The sequence below is a fragment of the Homo sapiens genome, chromosome 19 (assembly GCF_000001405.40).
Source record: "Homo sapiens chromosome 19, GRCh38.p14 Primary Assembly".
In the NCBI taxonomy this organism is placed as follows: Eukaryota; Metazoa; Chordata; class Mammalia; order Primates; family Hominidae; genus Homo; species Homo sapiens.
Window position 1 is genome coordinate 46404553 of NC_000019.10, and position 16279 is coordinate 46420831.

The 16279-nt window shown below is 53.5% G+C and overlaps 1 protein-coding gene across 1 annotated transcript, besides 5 other annotated features; it reads right to left on the bottom strand.

Moving 5' to 3' along the window:
* Positions 4128-4652: an enhancer, noted in NCBI's record as "H3K4me1 hESC enhancer chr19:46911937-46912461 (GRCh37/hg19 assembly coordinates)". NCBI's record gives its function as "activates a minimal SCP1, AML or CMV promoter by ChIP-STARR-seq in primed H9 embryonic stem cells {active_cell/tissue: H9 hESC(primed)}" and the evidence as "EXISTENCE:reporter gene assay evidence [ECO:0000049][PMID:30033119]".
* Positions 5777-9012, bottom strand: CCDC8 (coiled-coil domain containing 8 subunit of 3M complex). The gene has a single exon (NM_032040.5). The coding sequence runs from the start codon at positions 8256-8258 to the stop codon at positions 6642-6644; it is 1617 nt and encodes a 538-aa protein (NP_114429.2). The 5' UTR covers positions 8259-9012; the 3' UTR covers positions 5777-6641.
* Positions 7386-8219: an enhancer, noted in NCBI's record as "H3K27ac-H3K4me1 hESC enhancer chr19:46915195-46916028 (GRCh37/hg19 assembly coordinates)". NCBI's record gives its function as "activates a minimal SCP1, AML or CMV promoter by ChIP-STARR-seq in naive H9 embryonic stem cells {active_cell/tissue: H9 hESC(naive)}" and the evidence as "EXISTENCE:reporter gene assay evidence [ECO:0000049][PMID:30033119]".
* Positions 9886-10719: an enhancer, noted in NCBI's record as "NANOG-H3K4me1 hESC enhancer chr19:46917695-46918528 (GRCh37/hg19 assembly coordinates)". NCBI's record gives its function as "activates a minimal SCP1, AML or CMV promoter by ChIP-STARR-seq in primed H9 embryonic stem cells {active_cell/tissue: H9 hESC(primed)}" and the evidence as "EXISTENCE:reporter gene assay evidence [ECO:0000049][PMID:30033119]".
* Positions 10720-11552: an enhancer, noted in NCBI's record as "NANOG-H3K27ac-H3K4me1 hESC enhancer chr19:46918529-46919361 (GRCh37/hg19 assembly coordinates)". NCBI's record gives its function as "activates a minimal SCP1, AML or CMV promoter by ChIP-STARR-seq in primed H9 embryonic stem cells {active_cell/tissue: H9 hESC(primed)}" and the evidence as "EXISTENCE:reporter gene assay evidence [ECO:0000049][PMID:30033119]".
* Positions 11979-12068: a silencer, noted in NCBI's record as "silent region_10812". NCBI's record gives its function as "represses an Ori minimal core promoter by ATAC-STARR-seq in GM12878 lymphoblastoid cells {active_cell/tissue: GM12878}" and the evidence as "EXISTENCE:reporter gene assay evidence [ECO:0000049][PMID:35858748]".

Here is a 16279-nt window from a genome sequence, read left to right on the forward strand (position 1 = left end):
GGGCAGGAGAGGGTTTGCAGTCATCGTAAACGGGGCGGCATGGAAAGCCCTCACTGAGAAGGTGCCAAAGACCCCAAGGAGGTGAGGGGTTGCGGCCGGCAGATGCCTGGGGAAAGCGCATGACCGGAAGCGCAGGAAGAGCCAGGTTAAAAGCCCCAAGCCAGAGTGTGATAATATGGGGCTGTTAATGTGTGACTACTGCCCCTCCCGTGCCAGGCTCGGTGCTGGCGTAGGGGAGGCAGTGGGGCCAAAGAAGGCCACCTGCCTCCATGGTGGTCGCTGTCGGGTTGGATTTCCACGTGCCTGGAGTTTAAAAGTGAGGCAGCCTGGAAATGAGCTTGCAGAGTTCGCTGGGGGCGTGGGGGAGGTTTGGCCGTGCAGACTTTCAGATAGCGGGCCCAGGCAGGGACCTCGATCCTGAACCCGCCCCCACCCCGATCCCGGAGCCAGCTCAGACACAGGGGCGCCTGAAAACTCCTAGGGACATGACCAGGTGCTGGAGGGAGGGAGAAGTCTGGGTTCCGGGGACAGAAAAAGACAGTCCCTACCGCCAACGGGTTCCCCAGACCCGGTTTCCACTGAGGCCCCACCTTCCCCAGCGCAGTCTTCGCCCCTTGCATAGGAGGCCACATCTCCTACACGTAGATATGCAGAGAGCGTGTCAACGCGCAAGAGCTGCAGCGCCCCATTTAACCACCAAGAGGCTCCAGGGCCGCTGGTTAAAATCGTGCGGGAAGAGATAGCTTGACGCCAGGAGTTCAAGACCGGCCCGAGCAAAATAGTGACCCACCCCCAACCCCCGCTCCCCGCCTCTCGTCTATACAAAAATAAATATACATAAATAAAATAAAATAAGCAAATAAATATTACATCGTGCCGGCGATGGTGTTTCCCGAGCACTCGAAGCGCCTAAGTTTTCCCTGGCCTTTGAACGCTAGACTGCAGAAAGCGGCAGGACAGCGGTTCTCAAAGTCAGGTTCTGGACCAGCTGCGCCAACGTCTCCTGGGAACTAGATACACATGTTCGGGCCCACCCGAGACCTACAGAACCCCTTTGGGCAGGCAGCCCGGCAAGCTGAATTTTCGAAGGACCCCCCAGGCACCTGCGATACGGGACCAGTTGGAGAAACGGTCCGGCATCACAGTTTGAGACCCCAGATGTGGGGTCTGATGGTCTCTAGGACCCCTAGGGTCACAGTTGTCAGCCCCGGCTGCCCATTGCTGGGAATCACCTGGGAAGCTTTAGGGACTGTTGCTGCCCCAGCGGAGGCCTGGCACCATCCCGAGATTCCCAGAGTGGGTCCTGTGTGCATGCTGGACATGGGCTCCGGGTCATTTCAGGGACAGCCGGGGCGGGGACTGCTGCCCTGGGGTCTCTGTCAAGGCCGATGTGTGCAGTGAAAAACTGGCCGCTGCTGATACCTAGCAGGAATAAGACGAGATGACGTCTCCTAGGGTTGATTGGAGCACGAACACATCACACCCTTTTCAGTACCCTGAGCAATGCTGGAAGGAAAGCTCTGCTATGATCCCCCTTTCCCATGAGGACATGGAGTCACAGAGAGGTCAAGTTACCAGCCCAAGGTCACACAGCTTGCAAGGAGCGGTGCTGGGGGAGCCAGGCAGCTGAGCTCCAAATTGCTCTCCTGTCACACCCTGTGGGCCTGGGAGGGAGACCCACAAATCAGAAATCCTTCCACCCCCATGTCTTTTTTTTTTTTTTTTTTTTTGACAGAATCTCGCTCTGTCACCTAGGCTGGAGTGCAGTGGTGCAATCTCGGCTCACTGCAACCTCCGCCTCCTGGGTTCAAACAATTCTCATGCCTCAGCCTCCCAAGTAGCTGGGATTACAAGCACCTGCCATCACGTCCAGCTAATTTTTGTATTTACAGTAGAGACGGATTTTTGCCATGTTGGCCAGGCTGGTCTCAAACTCCTGACCTCAAGTGATCTGCCCATCTCGACCCCCCAAAGTGTTGGAATTATAGGCGTGAGACACTGTACGCAGCCCCTCCACCCCCATGTCTCAGGGTGGCATCCCTCCCTTCCATGTCTGTGTTCTGGAATCACCTGTGGCCTCTTATTTTCCTCTTTGGTAAAAATGAGGAGCAGCTGGGTCGGGCACGGTGGCTCACGCCTGTAATCCCAGTACTTTGGGAGGCCGAGGCGGGCGGATCACGAGGTCAGGAGATCAAGACCATCCTAACACAGTGAAACCCCATCTCTACTAAAAATACAAAAAAATTAGCTGGGCGTGATGGAGGGTGCCTGTAGTCCCAGCTACTAGGGAGGCTGAGGCAGGAGAATGGCGTGAACCCAGCAGGCGGAGTTTGCAGTAAGCCGAGATCGCGCCACTGCACTCCAGCCTGGGTGACAGAGCGAGACTCTGTCACAAAAACAAACAAACAAACAAACAAACAAACAATGAGGAGCAGCTGGACTGGTCCAGATGAAGGCTGATTCAGAGACCAATCTCTGGTTTCCTGGGCTTCCTCTTGGAAACCTTCGTGCATTTGAAACCACACCCCAGAGGCATCAAGGGACTGACTGGCCCTGCAGGTGCTGTTTGAAGGCCCCTGCGCTGAAATATAATAGCGAACACTCTGTTCTGTCTCAGTTACTAGAGGGCTCCCCTACCTGTGGGGCCTCCCTGAATGCTCACGGTGGGGATGCTGGGAACAGTTCAGAAAAGGTTGTGTTCACTCGGGGGGCAACAAATTTTGACTCAGTGGGGGATAGACTTGCCCAAAGCCTCAGGGCCACCCAGAAAGGCTATGCAAATAAGACCCAGGGATGGCCGGGTATACAAGTAAGACTGGGGGGGCTGAGGCACGAGAATTGCTTGAACCCGGGAGGCAGAGGTTGCAGTGAGTTGAGATCCCACCACTGCACTCCAGCCTGGTTGACAGAGACTCTGCCTAAAAACAAAAACAAAAACAAACAAAAAAACCCAGGGAGACGGTGTGAAACTGTTTCTTTTTTCTTTTTTGAGACAGGGTTTTGCTTGTTGCCCAGGTTGGAGTACAATAGCGCAATCTCAGCTCGCCGCAACCTCCTGGGTTCAACTGATCCTCCTCCTACCTCAGCCTCCCGAGTAGCTGGGATTACAGGCATGCACCATCATGCCCAGCTAATTTTTTGTATTTTTAGTACAGATGGGGTTTCACCATGTTGGCCAGGCTGGTCTCGAACTCCTGACTTCAGGTGATCCACCCACCTCGGCCTCCCAAAATGCTGGGATTACAGGCGTGAGCCACCGCGCCCGGCTGTGAAACTTTCTGCAAGCATCTGTGTGTCTGTGACTGCCTGGCTTTTGAGTTTGTGTGATAACATGTGAGTGTGTCCATCTGGCTGAGGGAATCAAAGTGTCCAACGGCATCTAGCAGTGTGTGACGGGTCCTGAGTGGGTGAACACGTTGACATTTCCAAGTATGTCAGTGTTTGTATGAATGGGTCTGTGAATGTGTGGGGGTTGGCTTCCCGGAGCACAGTGGGTCTGTGCGCCTCTGTGAGTACACGTGTGTGTACTACATGTGTGTGTCCGTGTCTGTGTCTATGTATGGGCAGATTAATCATAATTTCTGTTGGTGAATGTGGGTCTGCCAGTGGTGCCTGAGTGTACATGTGTCTGTGGTATGTGCTGTGCCTGCGTGCCTGGATCCGAGTGTGCATGTGTCTATGTGTGTGTCCACACGTGTATGGCAGTGAGAGAGACTGACCCAGTGTTGCCTGATGTCTGTGAAATCCACGCAGCTCCTCGTTTAACTCCATCTTGCCACTTGTTTGGGGTCCACACCACTTTCCTTCTCATGGGCCCCTGATGTTCCCCCGAGACCCCCCCCCCCCCATAGCTCTGGGCGCTGCAGGGAGGAGGAGCAGAGAGACTCGCTCTGAGCCTTCATTTCCTGCATTCATGCCGTCGGCTCCTCCAGTCTCCGAATCCCTCCAAACATCTGTCTCTGCTGTTCCTTTTTACCTTCCAGCTCCTCAGGCAGGCCAGGTCCCCATGGTCACGAGACCTCTGCCCTCCGAAGTGGGCAGCGACAAAGGACAGCCTCCCTCCCCACCAACCAGAACCTTCCCACCCAGCCTGTCTTCCTCCGCGCACCTGCAAAGCCTCCCCTCCAGGTGAGGTCCACAGCTTGTATTTCTTCCAAACCTCCCAGGGCCTCGTTCTTGCTGTGAGCCGTGGACTACACGGCCAAGTATCCACCAGCATGCACAAAGCGGCTCTAGCAAGGCCATGCGGCGCGCCAGGCAGCAAGCAGCACCAGCAGTAACCACTCCACTCAGAAAAGAGCAGGGGTGGGGCGCGGTGGCTCACTCCCATAGTCCCAGAGCTGAGGCCAGAGGATCGCTTGATCCCAAGAGTGCAAGTGAGCCGTGATTGCAACACCACACTCCAGCCTGGGTGACAGAGCCAGACCCTGTCTTGAAAGAAAGAAAAGAGTAAAGAAAAGAGAGAAAGAGAAAGGAAAGAAAGCAAGAGAGAGAGAGAAAGAGAGAGGGAGGGAGGGAGGAAGAAAGAAAGAGGGAAGGAAGGAAGGAAGGAAAGGAGGGAGGGTGGGAGGGGGAAGGGGAGGGAGAGGGAGAGGGGAGGGAGAGAGGGAGAGGGGAGGGGAGTGGAGGGAGAGAGGGAGAGGGGAGGGGAGTGGAGGGAGAGAGGGAGAGGGGAGGGGAGGGAGGGAAGGGGAGGGGAGGGAGGGAAGGAGGGAGGAGGGTGGAAGAGAGAAAAACAAAAGGAGGGTGGTGGGATAGAATTCTTTACTTTCCTGAGGAAAAAAATAAGAAACTTAGGCCAGGCCTGCAACCAGTTAGGAAGACAGACTGGCCTTTGGACCTCCACGAACTCTCTTTTCTCCTGCCCTCAGCAAGGCTAGAGTGTGGTCATTTGCTGTTTTTCACTGCTAGGGGTTGTGGGGACACAAGGCAATACAGGCCCCCAGCTTCCTCCTAACCTCCACAGGGCTTTAGCAACCCAGTTTCTTCCCAATTATAGGAAGCAGTTGGCCGCGTGCAGTGGCTCATGCCTGTAATCCCAGCACTTTGGGAAGCAGAGGTGGGCAGATCAGCTGAGGTTAGGAGTTCAAGACAAGCTTGGCCAATATGGTGAAACCTCATCTCTACTAAAAATACAAAAATTAGCCAGGTGTGGTGGCACACACCTGTAGTCCCAGCTATTCGGGAGGCTGAGGGAGGAGAATCGCTTGAACCAGGGAGGCGGAGATGGCAGTGAGCCGAGATCGTGCCACTGCACTCCAGCCTGGGAGACAGAGAGTGAGATTCCATCTCCAAAAAGAAAAAAAAAAATGCAGCAGCAATTAATGCACAATACACACAGCCTCTTTTTTTTTTTTTTTTTTTTTTTTTTTTTGAGACAGAGTCTCACTGTGTCACTAGGCTGGAGTGCAATGGCACAATCTCGGCTCACTGCAACCTCCACCTCCTGGGTTCAAGAGATTCTCTTGCCTCAGCCTCCAGAGTAGCTGGGACTACAGGCGTGCGCCACAAGGCCAGTCTAATTTTTGTATTTTTATTAGAGACGGGGTTTCACCACGTTGGCCAGGATGGTCTCGATCTCTTGACCTCGTGATCCACCCGCCTTGGCCTCCCTAAGTGCTGGGATTACAGGCGTGAGCCACCATGCCCGGCCAACCACAGCCCCTCTTTTGGGCCTTTTCCTATTGCAATGATTTTTCAATGTGTCCAGTGGCCGAGTTGCCCAGATGTCCGTGGAGCTTGATGCAAACAGAATTCAGAGCCACACAGGCACCGCTAGCAAATCCACACCTCTGGTGCCGAGGGCCCCAGAATCTGTGTTTTGAATGCATTTTTCAGACGCTTTTACTGTACCTTATAACCAAGATCGGGTGAGGTGTGCAAACCAAGGGCCCTGTCCCCTCCAAACCAGCAGAGCCCGGGGCATGAGGATGGCAAGCGAAGTGACAACATAAACACAGGTGTCTCCATCATCAAGGATGGGAGTGGAACGGACAGCAAGGGCCAGGTCACCCCCAGAGCATTCGTCAGTTGTCAAGTCCAAAGCTAAGAAATCAGTTCATAAATGTTTTTTGATTTGCATGTTGGCTCAACTCTTTTTAAGTCCAAGGAGGCAGTCCACATTAAGTGTGCAGGCAAAAAAGAGATGGAAAAAGGAGTCAGTTTCTCCCCTGCCCTCCCTCTCTCCCTTTATCAAGCTGAGCACCTTGAGTTGCATTTGAGGAAATGAAAACTATAGGTGACGCAACCCCATTGTGTCGAATTCTTTCTTTACATTTTTTGGGTTGCTACAAGGAATCAGTATTTTTTTTTTTTAATCAGATGGTGTGTGTGGTGGCTCACATCTGTAATCCCAGCATTTTGGGAGGCCGAGGCAGGAGGATCACTTGAGGCCAGAAGTTTGAGGCTGCAGTGAGTTATGATCATGCCACTGCACTCCAGCCTGGGCAACAGAGTGAGACCCTGTCTCTAAAAAATTTAAAAAAAAATCAAAGCATGAACAAAACTTTAACAAGAGAATAAAGAGGGTTGTTAGGTGGAGACGTGGCCAGCACTCCACCTCCACTTTGAAGTTCAGAGGCAGAGCATCTCTCCCTCCCACACTTGGAGGGAGGGCCCGTGGGCTGTCTCTAGCCCTCACCTCACAGCTGGTCTTCTTGCTCTCCCTGCTCAGCTTCTGCTCTGGCCTCGGCCCTCAGCACCCTGAGGTTCCTGGCCTCTCCTGCCCTGGGGACTCTCTTGGGCAGGGTTGGCAACCGGGGAGTGTGCCAGAAGGCTCTCCGGCGCTTGCAAAACCACGAAAAGCGTCCAGGGGTCTGGAACCTCACTGTCTTGACCTGTTTCCGGGCCCTGGCTCCTGGAGCTGTTCCTGTGGTCCCTTGGGCAGCTGAGACTTCAGCTTCCTGGATACCTGGGGCCCCTGCCCTCTGATTATGTGCAGCCTCTGCCCTCTGGCCAGCCCGGGCCTGTGCCCTCTGATTATCTGCACCCTGGACAGCTGGGGCCCTTTCCCTCTGGTCATGTACGGCCTCTTCCCTTTGATTATCTGTAACCTCTGACCCCTGGTCAGCTGGGGCCTCCGCCCTCTGATTATCTGCAGCCTCTTCCCTGTGGTTATCTGTGCCCTGTGACCTCTGGTCAGCTGGGGCCTCTGCCCTCTGATTATCTGCAGCCTCTTCCCTCTGGTTATCTGCAGCCTCTGCCCCCTCCTCAGCTGGGGCCCCTGCCCTCTGATTATCTGCAGCCTCTTCCCTCTGATTATCTGCAGCCTCTGCCCCCTGGTCAGCTGGGGCCCCTGCCCTCTGATTACCTGCAGCCCCTTCCCGCTGGTCAGCTATGGCCTCTTCCCTTTGACTATCTGCAGCCTCTCCCCCCTGATCAGCCTCGATGTCTGCCCCCTGACCTGTGGGTGCTGTCTGCTCCTTCCTGCGGCGCCGAAAGGAGGCCCAGTTGATCTTGGGCCTCCATCGCCTAGGGGAAGCCTGGGGCACACAAACATCTCCCGCGTTTCCCAAGCGATCCCCCGGGCTGGTGCCCTCTGGCGCCGATGATACCCCTGCGCTCTCCACTGCGGTGGAGGCCAGCCGGGCCTCGCCCACCCCGGGGCCCGCCCTCGGCGCCCAACCCTTCACCCTCCGCTTCAGCTTCCCCCAGGACACCTGGCTGACATACTCCCGCCACCTGTCCGCTTTGGACAGCTGAGGCCCCAGGTTGTCCTCAAACATGGGCACTGGCAGGTTGACGCGGCGGCGGGCAGGCGGCGCGCTGGGCTGCTTCTCCTGTCGCCGGAGGAAGGCCTCGACCAGTTCCTCATCATCCTCACTCTCCAGGTCGCTTCCCAGGAACTTGCTGCCCAGGTAGCTGACGGGCATTTTGCGCACCTTCTTGCCCCGCCGCGGGCCCTGGCGGCTCTTGTCTCTGGAGGTCTCGAAGTCGCTGAACTCGCTGTCGCTGGCGTTGCTGCTGTCGTACGTGCCCACGACCAGCCGGGGCGGAGGAGTCACCATCTGCTGCACTCTCCTCCTCACTCGGGGCTCCTTGGGCTTTTTGGGGGGCTGGGGCGGGTGCGGGGTGCTCTTCTCCATGATGCGGGCCACGTCCTCCAGGGTGCGGCCCTCTTCTTCCAGGAACTGGGTCAGCCGCTCCCGAAATTCTGCTTCCTTGGTGGCGGGCTTAGAGATGACTCTCCAGACGCCCCCAGCCAGCCTGACCTCCCGGGGGATGAGCAAATAGTCGACGTCCTCCCCGATCTGCAGCATCCCCACCGTGGAGTCCTCCTCCTTGCGGAACACCTTGCCGATCTTCTTAAATGTCCCCACGGGCTTTAGGGCTTCCACGAGGACGTCCAAATCCACATCTTTGCAGACATCGGGGACGCTCCAAAGAATGAGGCAGTCGGGGGACGGCAGGAAGCCCCAGGGGAACCAGCCCCCCACGTGGCTTTTCTCGAGAGTCTTTAAGATCTCCAGGGTGATATCTGGGGTGAGGGGGCAATGAGCCCCAACAAACTACTGTAGCCCTTAGTCTTGAGGGAGGGACTGGATGGGGGGAGTTCCAGCAACGCTGACCGGAGAGTCTCACCTCCCTAGCCAGGGACGAGCCAAACGCCTCCAATCTCTTCGCCTGCAACAAGTACAGTCTTGACCAAGTCCGGCTCCCCCACCAAGGACTTGGGGGAATCAATTTCCAGGATGCCTACGTGAGCCGGGGGCGAGGTCAGTCCCAAGGCTCAAGGCCCACTCCAAGCTGGAAACGTGGTGTCCCAGCTCCAAGTTGGGGCGCGCGGGCTGCCAGCGACTCTTCCTGCCCCAGGCCCCAGGGACGCGGCTGGAACTTGGGACAGGACTTCGCAGACAAAGACGGTCCAGTCGAAGCTATTCAATATGGCCGAGGCGCTGGGAGGCCCCAGCCCGGGCCTCCAGTAGGGTCCCCCGCCCCCAGGCAGGCCGCCACCCAGCTCCAGGCTGACCTTGACGCGCCGCAGCCTGCCAGCCCGCGCGCTTAGAGCTCTGCACCGTGGAGCGCGCGGGCAGGAAGTTCCTCCTCGCCCTCCGCCAGAATGAGGCCCACCTTCCCCCGTCTCATCTTACACTCCCAGACTCTGGAAGACTGACAGGGGGGCTGTCCACTCCCTTCGGGGCGGCCTCCTTCCCCTCCCCCACAGGGGTGTGGCCGCGCCCCGGGCCTAGCTGGGCCCATTGCTTCCCAGCGAAGCGGCAGTGGCCCACGTCAGCACCTTTCCTGAAAGGCAGCGGTTCCCAAACCTGCCATCCGAAATGTGCAAGTTTCCAGCCAAGTCCGGGAGGTGGGTGTGCTAGTGGATTCTACTTTTTGAGAGCCACTGGCACCACAGATTAGCATTTTAAATTCACGCGACTATCGGTACCCGTACACCTATATGCGTGGGTAGAGAAATGGGTACCTGACTGCAACAGTCCCACTGTGGCGCTTGGCAGGTCAGGGCTCAATACATATTTTTGAGGGGATGAATAAACCCAAATGTTCATGGCCAGGCGCGGTGGCTCATGCCTGTAATGCCAGCACTTTGGGAGGCCCAGGTGGGTGGAACACTTGAGGCCAGGAGTTCGAGACCAGCCTGCCCAACATGGTGAAACCCTCGTCTCTACCCCGGGTGTGGTGGTGCGCGTGCGTAGTCCCAAGCTACGCGAGAGGCTGAGGCAGGAGAATGGCGTGAACCTGGGAGGTGGAGGTTGCAGAGATCGCGCCACTGCACTCCGGCCTGCGCAACAGAGGGAGACTGTCTCAAAAAAACAAAAGTGCAAAAAAACCCCTACAAATAAACAACAACAAAAAACCCTAAAAGTTCACGAGTAGAGACTGCCTCTATTTTATGGTAGTATCTTACAGTGAAATATTTTGCAACTTCGAAAAAAGAATGAGATGGCTAAGGATAGGCACGGTTTATGAGGCGCTTCCTATGTAGTAGGCACCATTCCCAGTGCTTTCTATGAATGAACTCAGGAAATCCTTGCTATAACAGGAGACTGGTAGCATGAGTACAATTCCCATTAGACAGCTGAGGAAACTGAGGCCCAAGGACATAAAACCACACTCTCAAGGTCACAGCCATGGGGAGTGGTTGAGTTTGGATTTGAATCCAGAATAGTCTGCCTTTTGTGTCGACCAAAGAGTCAAGATGGCCAGGCGCGGTGGCTCACGCCTGTAATCCCAGCCCTTTGGGAGGCTGAGGCGGGCAGATCACGAGGTCAGGAGATCAAGACAAGACCATCCTGGCTAACGCGGTGAAACCCTGTCTCTACTAAAAATGCAAAAAAATTAGCCGCGCGTGGTGGTACGTGCCTGTAGTCCCAGCTACTCGGGAGGCTGAGGCAGAAGAATCTCTTGAACCCGGGAGGCGGAGGTTGCAGTGAGCCGCGATCGCACCACTGCACTCCAGCCTGGACGACAGAGCAAGACTCCGTCTCAAAAAAAAAAAAAGAAAGAAAGAAAGAAAAAAAAGAATCAAGATGTGAACCAATGCTAGTCGCATTCGGCCGGGAGCTCGGTTCTTGAGACGCGAGTCTACCGAAGCTCCCGCCAGTTGAGAGGCGAGTCTGCCGAAGCTCCCGGCCGAAAAAGCCAAATCCTTCCTTAACCCAGTGTCTGAGGGGTTTTGTCCGTGGCTCCTCCTGCTACAGGACATGCGACTAGCATTGGTCCACATCTTTGGAACCAGGCATCCAGAGACATGTTGAATAGGCCTCGTTGTTAGGAACCCTCAGAGGTACATGGTAAGGCCAGTGCCATCAATCATCTTTTTACAGACGGTGAAACTGAGGCTGGTCTGAAGTTGCACAGCTCTGAGTGGTGGATCTAATATAATATTAGAACCAGATCTTGGGCACTAGCATTTAAAACACTAGCTGACGCTAAAGACACAGCTAATCCCCTTCTCCTAAATGTGTTGCACCATTTAACCACTTAGCAGCCACAATACTTGCAGCCACTCTTGCCTGGATGTGTACAAAGCCCCCTCACTGGGCTTCCCGCCTCCCCATCACTGCTTGCAATCCAGGCCCCATCCAGAAGCTGGGGGCATCTTTTAAAAACTTAGGTCCGATCTGTCTCTACTCTTTTGAAAATTCTCCATCTCAGGCTGGGCGCCGTGGCTCACGCCTTTAATCCAGCACTTTGGGAGGCTGAGGCGGGCGGATCACCTGAGGTCCGGAGTTTGAGACCAGCCTGGTCAACATGGCAAAACCCCATCTCTACTAAAAAATACAAAAATTGCCGGGCGCGGTGGCTCACGCTTGTAATCCCAGCATTTTGGGAGGCTGAAGCGGGTGGATCACCTGAGGTCAGAAGTTTGAGACCAGCCTGGCCAACATGGTGAAACCCCGCCTCTACTAAAACTACAAAACTAGCCTGTCTTGGTGGCGCATGCCTGTAATCCCAGCTACTCCGGAGGCTCAGGCAGGAGAATCGTTTGAATCCGGGATTCAGAGGTTGCAGTGAGCTGAGACCGTGCCATTGCACTCCAGCCTGGGCAACAAGAGCGAAACTCCGTCTCAAAAACAAACAAACAAAAAAAAGAAACGAACAAAAATATAAGAATTAGCCGGGCATGGTGACACATGCCTGTAATCCCAGCTACTGGGGAGGCTGAGGCAGAAGAATCGCTTGAACTGGGAGGCGGAGGTTGCAGTGAGCCAAGATCGCGCCACTGCCCTCCACCTTGGGCGACAGAGCGAGACTCCGTCTCAAATAAATAAATAAATGTGATCTTATTTAACTCATAAAGGAACCAGGCAAATTTTTAAAGAGGGAACGGAGGAAAAAGAGACGGGCCAGAGGGAAAGAAAAGATGTGGGGGCTTAGGGGACGTTAAGGTCTCAGCGAGCGGCCTGTTCACAATTACCGGCTTATTCAGGTTGTTTTTCTCTTGCAGAGCCAGGTCGTTGGGCTTCGCTGGATTTTTCTCCTCTTTCTCCCTGGCTCAGTCCCAGCCGCCGCGCTCAGCCCCCGGGCCTCCCGCGGCCCCGCCCCTCGCCTCCCCCTTCGCACAGTTTGTGGCCTCCGCAGTCCGGCGGTCTCCATGGCAACCACGGGACGCGCTCCTCCGCGCGGATCAAAACTAAGCGGGTGGGGCGGAGGCGGAGGCGAGGCTGCAGGGAGATGGTGGGGGTGGGGGCGCCACGGAGGACGAGGGCAGGAGCTCCTCTTTTCTGCCCCTGGTGCCTCCCTTAGGCCTCATCCCCAAAGCCAGCTTCCCTGAAAAGCTGTTTGTAGAAACCAAAAAATGAAAAATCCTAAGGACACCTAGGTTTCAGGAATGCTGATTAAAGAATCGCAAGTCTGAGGGCTCATGACAGTGCCTTCCAAGTGGTGACCTCGCAGATGAGACGTTTGGGTTTTGTAGTCATAAAAGGGCTTTCGTTTTGTTTGTTTGTTTTGTTTTTTGTTTGTTTTTCTTTTTTTATTTGGTGGGGGAGCAGGGAGCGGCGCAAGGAGGATAATCTAAGAAATGAAAATCCCAAATGTTCCATATTTTTGCAAAAATCGTCAACCTCCGGCCGGGGGCGGTGACTCATGCCTGTAATCCCAGCACTTTGGGAAGCCAAGGCAGGAGGATCGCTTGAGCCCAGGAATTGGAGACCAGCCTGGGCAACATAGCGAGACTCCGGTCTCCACAAAAAATTTAAAAATTAGCCGAATATTATGGTGTGCGCCTGTGGTCTGAGCTACTCGGGAGACTGAGGTGGGCCTATCGCTTGAGCCCGGGAGGTCAGGGCTGCAGGAAGCGGAGATCGCCCATCTGCACGCCAGCCTGGGCAACAGAGCGAGACTCCATCTCAAAAAAAAAAAAAATTGCCAGCCCCTGAACGGTTCAGCTGTGGGTGTTTTTAATTGCACAGATCTCTGGCAGGTGAGACCCTTCTCCAGCCATCACAGAATAAAATAATAAAAACGAGAACTGTAGCCTCACTTTTGCATTTGTTTAAAATAAATGGAAAGTTGGAAAAGAATGGGGAAGAGAAACAAAACACGGCTGAAATCCCTCTACCCAGCTACATTTTGTTGCCATTTAAAAAAAAAATGGGACACGCGGGCCAGGGGCAGTGGCTCAAGCTTGTAATCCAAGCAATTTGGGAGGCCTACGCGGGCGATCGCCTGAAGTCAGGAGTTCGAGACCAGCCTGGCCAATATGATGAAACCCCACCGTCTCTACTAAAAGTACAAAAATTAGCTGGGCACGATGGCAGGCGCCCGTAATCTCAGCTACTAGGGAGGCTGAGGCAGGAGAATCGCTTGAACCTGGGAGGCACAGGTTGCAGTGAGCTGAGGTGGTGCCACTGTACTCCAGCTTGGGCAACAGAGTAACACCCTGTCTCAAAAAAGGATACACGGTCAGAAAAAGCAAAAGTTACAGAAAGGTAAATTTTTTTCAAAAAAGGATTCTTCTCCCCAAACCCCACCTTCCAGCCTCTCCCCAAAAAGTAACCAGTTAAATATCTCTGTATTTTTCCAGAGAAAAAATGCTTGCATTAGTGTATGTGTTAATTTTATTTTATTTTATTAATTTATTTTTTTTTTTTTGAGACGGAGTTTTGCTCTTATTGCCCAGGCTAGAGTGCAATGGCGCGATCTCCGACTCACCACAACCTCCACCTCCCGCGTTCAAGCAATTCTCCCGCCTCAGCCTCCAGAGCAGCTGGGATTACAGGCCAACCCACCCAGCTAATTTTGTATTTTTAGTAGAGACGGGATGTCTCCATGTTGATCAGGGTGGTCTCGATCTCGAACCTCAGGTGATCCACCCACCTTGGCCTCCCAAAGTGCTGGGATTACAGGCGTGAGCCACTTCACCTGGCTTTTTTTTTTATGTTAATTTTAGAATTTATCTCACAGAGATTTTTTTCCCCCATCATCCTAAATTATTTTCATCACAGCACTTACCACTTTCTGTTTTTGTTTTTTTTTTTCTTTGAGACAGGGTCTCACTCTGTCACCCAGGCTGAAGTGCAGTGGCATGATCATGGCTCACTGTAACCTCGAAATCCTGGGCTCAAGCAATCCTCCCACCTCAGCCTTCTGAGTGTCTGGGGCTACAGGTGTGTGCCACCATGCCTGGCTATTTTTAAAAATTTTTTGTAGAGAGGTATTCTCATTATGTTGCCCAGACCGGTCTTGAACTCCTGGCCTCAACTGATGCTCCTGCCTCTGGGTCTCAAAGTGCTGGGATTACAGGCGAGAGGCACCACGCTGGGCCTATTTGTATGTACTTATTTATTGTTTCACCCTATTAGAATACTATCCCCATGAGGTCTGGGATATGAGTCTGGTTTGTTCACTGCTGAAGTCTCAGCATCTAGAACACTTCAGGTAGGAGCTACAAATATTTATTAACTGAATGAATGCTGAGAATTGCACTAGATTTATTACTATAAAATGTGTTTTCACTTAATGTCCTTCTGTATCAGTGCTTGCCAGTCTGTTTTTGTTTGTCACGACAGCTTCCATCTTTATTCCTTCAAGCCAGGAACGTGATACTGATAATAATTCATTTTTACTGAGCACCTACTTTATCCTTGGCCCTGTGCATTTTCTCATTCAGTCCTTAGAACCCTTCCTTAAGCAAATGTTATTCCCATTTTTCAGATTAAAAAAAAAAACTGAGTCCAAGGAAAGTCACACAGCTAGGTAGTGGCAGAGCCAAGCTTTGAATCACTCAGGTTTATTAGATTCCAATCTCCACACACTTTTTGTTTGTTTGTTTGTTGTTTGTTTGTTTGTTTTGAGACAGGGTCTTGCTCTGTCGCCCAGTGATACGATTTCTGCTCACTTCAGCCTCGACCTCCTGGGCTCAAGCTATCCTCCCATCTCAGCTTCCCAAGTAGCTGGGACTACAGGCCCATGTCACCATGCCCAGCTAATTTTTTGTAAAGTTGGAGTTTCGCCATATTTTCCAGGCTAATCTCGAACTCCTGGGCTCAAGTGATCCTCCTACCTCAGCCTTCCAAAGTGCTGGCATTACAGATGGAAGCCACCATGCCTGGCCCCAATCTCCACACTCAGTGGGGTGGATCGCTTGAGCCCAGGAGTTCAAGACCAGCCTGGGCAACATAGCAAAACCCCATCTCTACAAAAATAGTACAAAAAATTAGCTGGACGTGGTGGTGCAAGCCTGTAGTCCCATCTACTCGGGAGGCTGAGGTGGGAGGAGCATCTGAGCATAGGATGTCCAGGCTGCAGTGAGCCATTATCGCACCACTACACCCCAGCCTGGGTGACAGAGTGAGACGCTGTCTCAAAAAAGTTTAGAAAAAAGAGGCCAAGGGCTGGGCACAGTGGCTCGCGCCTGTAATCCCAGCACTTTGAGAGGCCGAGGCGGGCAGATCACAAGGTCAGGAGATCGAGACCATCCTGGCTAACACAGTGAAACCCCATCTCTACCAAAAATACAAAAAATTAGCCGGCCGCGGTGACAGGTGCCTGTAGTCCCAGCTACTCGGGAGGCTGAGGCAGGAGAATGGCGTGAACCCGGGAGGCGGAGGTTGCAGTGAGCCGAGATCGCACCAAGGCACTCCAGCCTGGGAGACAGAGTGAGACTCTGTTTCAAAAAAAAAAAGAAAAGAAAAGAAAGAAAGAAAAAGAAAAAGGAGGCCAAGGAAGATAACACAGAGGCAAAGGCGTACAGAGTGGAGGAGGCGATGTGGATGTAACCCTGTAGGCAGAGGCTGGAGAGATGCAGTCAGCAGCCAAGGAACTCCTGGAGCCACCGGAAGCTTGAAGAGGCAAGCAAGTTCCTCCGCCTGGAGCCTCTGGAAGGAGCTCAGCCTTGCCAACAGCTTGATTTTGGATTTCTGTCCTCCAGAACCATGAGAGAATACATTTGTGATGTTTTAAGCCATCTAGTATATGGTAATGTGTCACAACAGCCACAGGAAACGAATACAGAGCCCGTTGTGTGGCCACGAATTCCCCTGAGTCCAGTGAGGGCAATTCCAAATTAAAACATGCTAATTTTATTCTGTGACCTTGTCTCTCAGGAATAATTATCCCTGAAGCGAAAGAATTCTTGTACAGTGTCCTGCGCCCTAGGAATTACATATGGGTGACGGGCACCTTGGAAGTGGTGGGGTTTTTGGTTTTTTTTTTTTTTAGACTGAGTCTCGCTGTGTTGCCCAGGCTAGAGTGCAGTGGCCCCATCTTGGCTCACTACAACTTCCACCTCCCGGGTTCAAGCAATTCTGCCTCAGCCTCTGGAGTACGTGGGATTATAGGCATGCGCTACCATGCCCAGTTAATTTTTGTATTT

What these genes read in the sequence shown, in the direction of transcription:
- CCDC8 (NM_032040.5), bottom strand. Translation starts at nt 8,258, where the DNA reads ATGCTGCAGATCGGGGAGGACGTCGACTATTTGCTCATCCCCCGGGAG.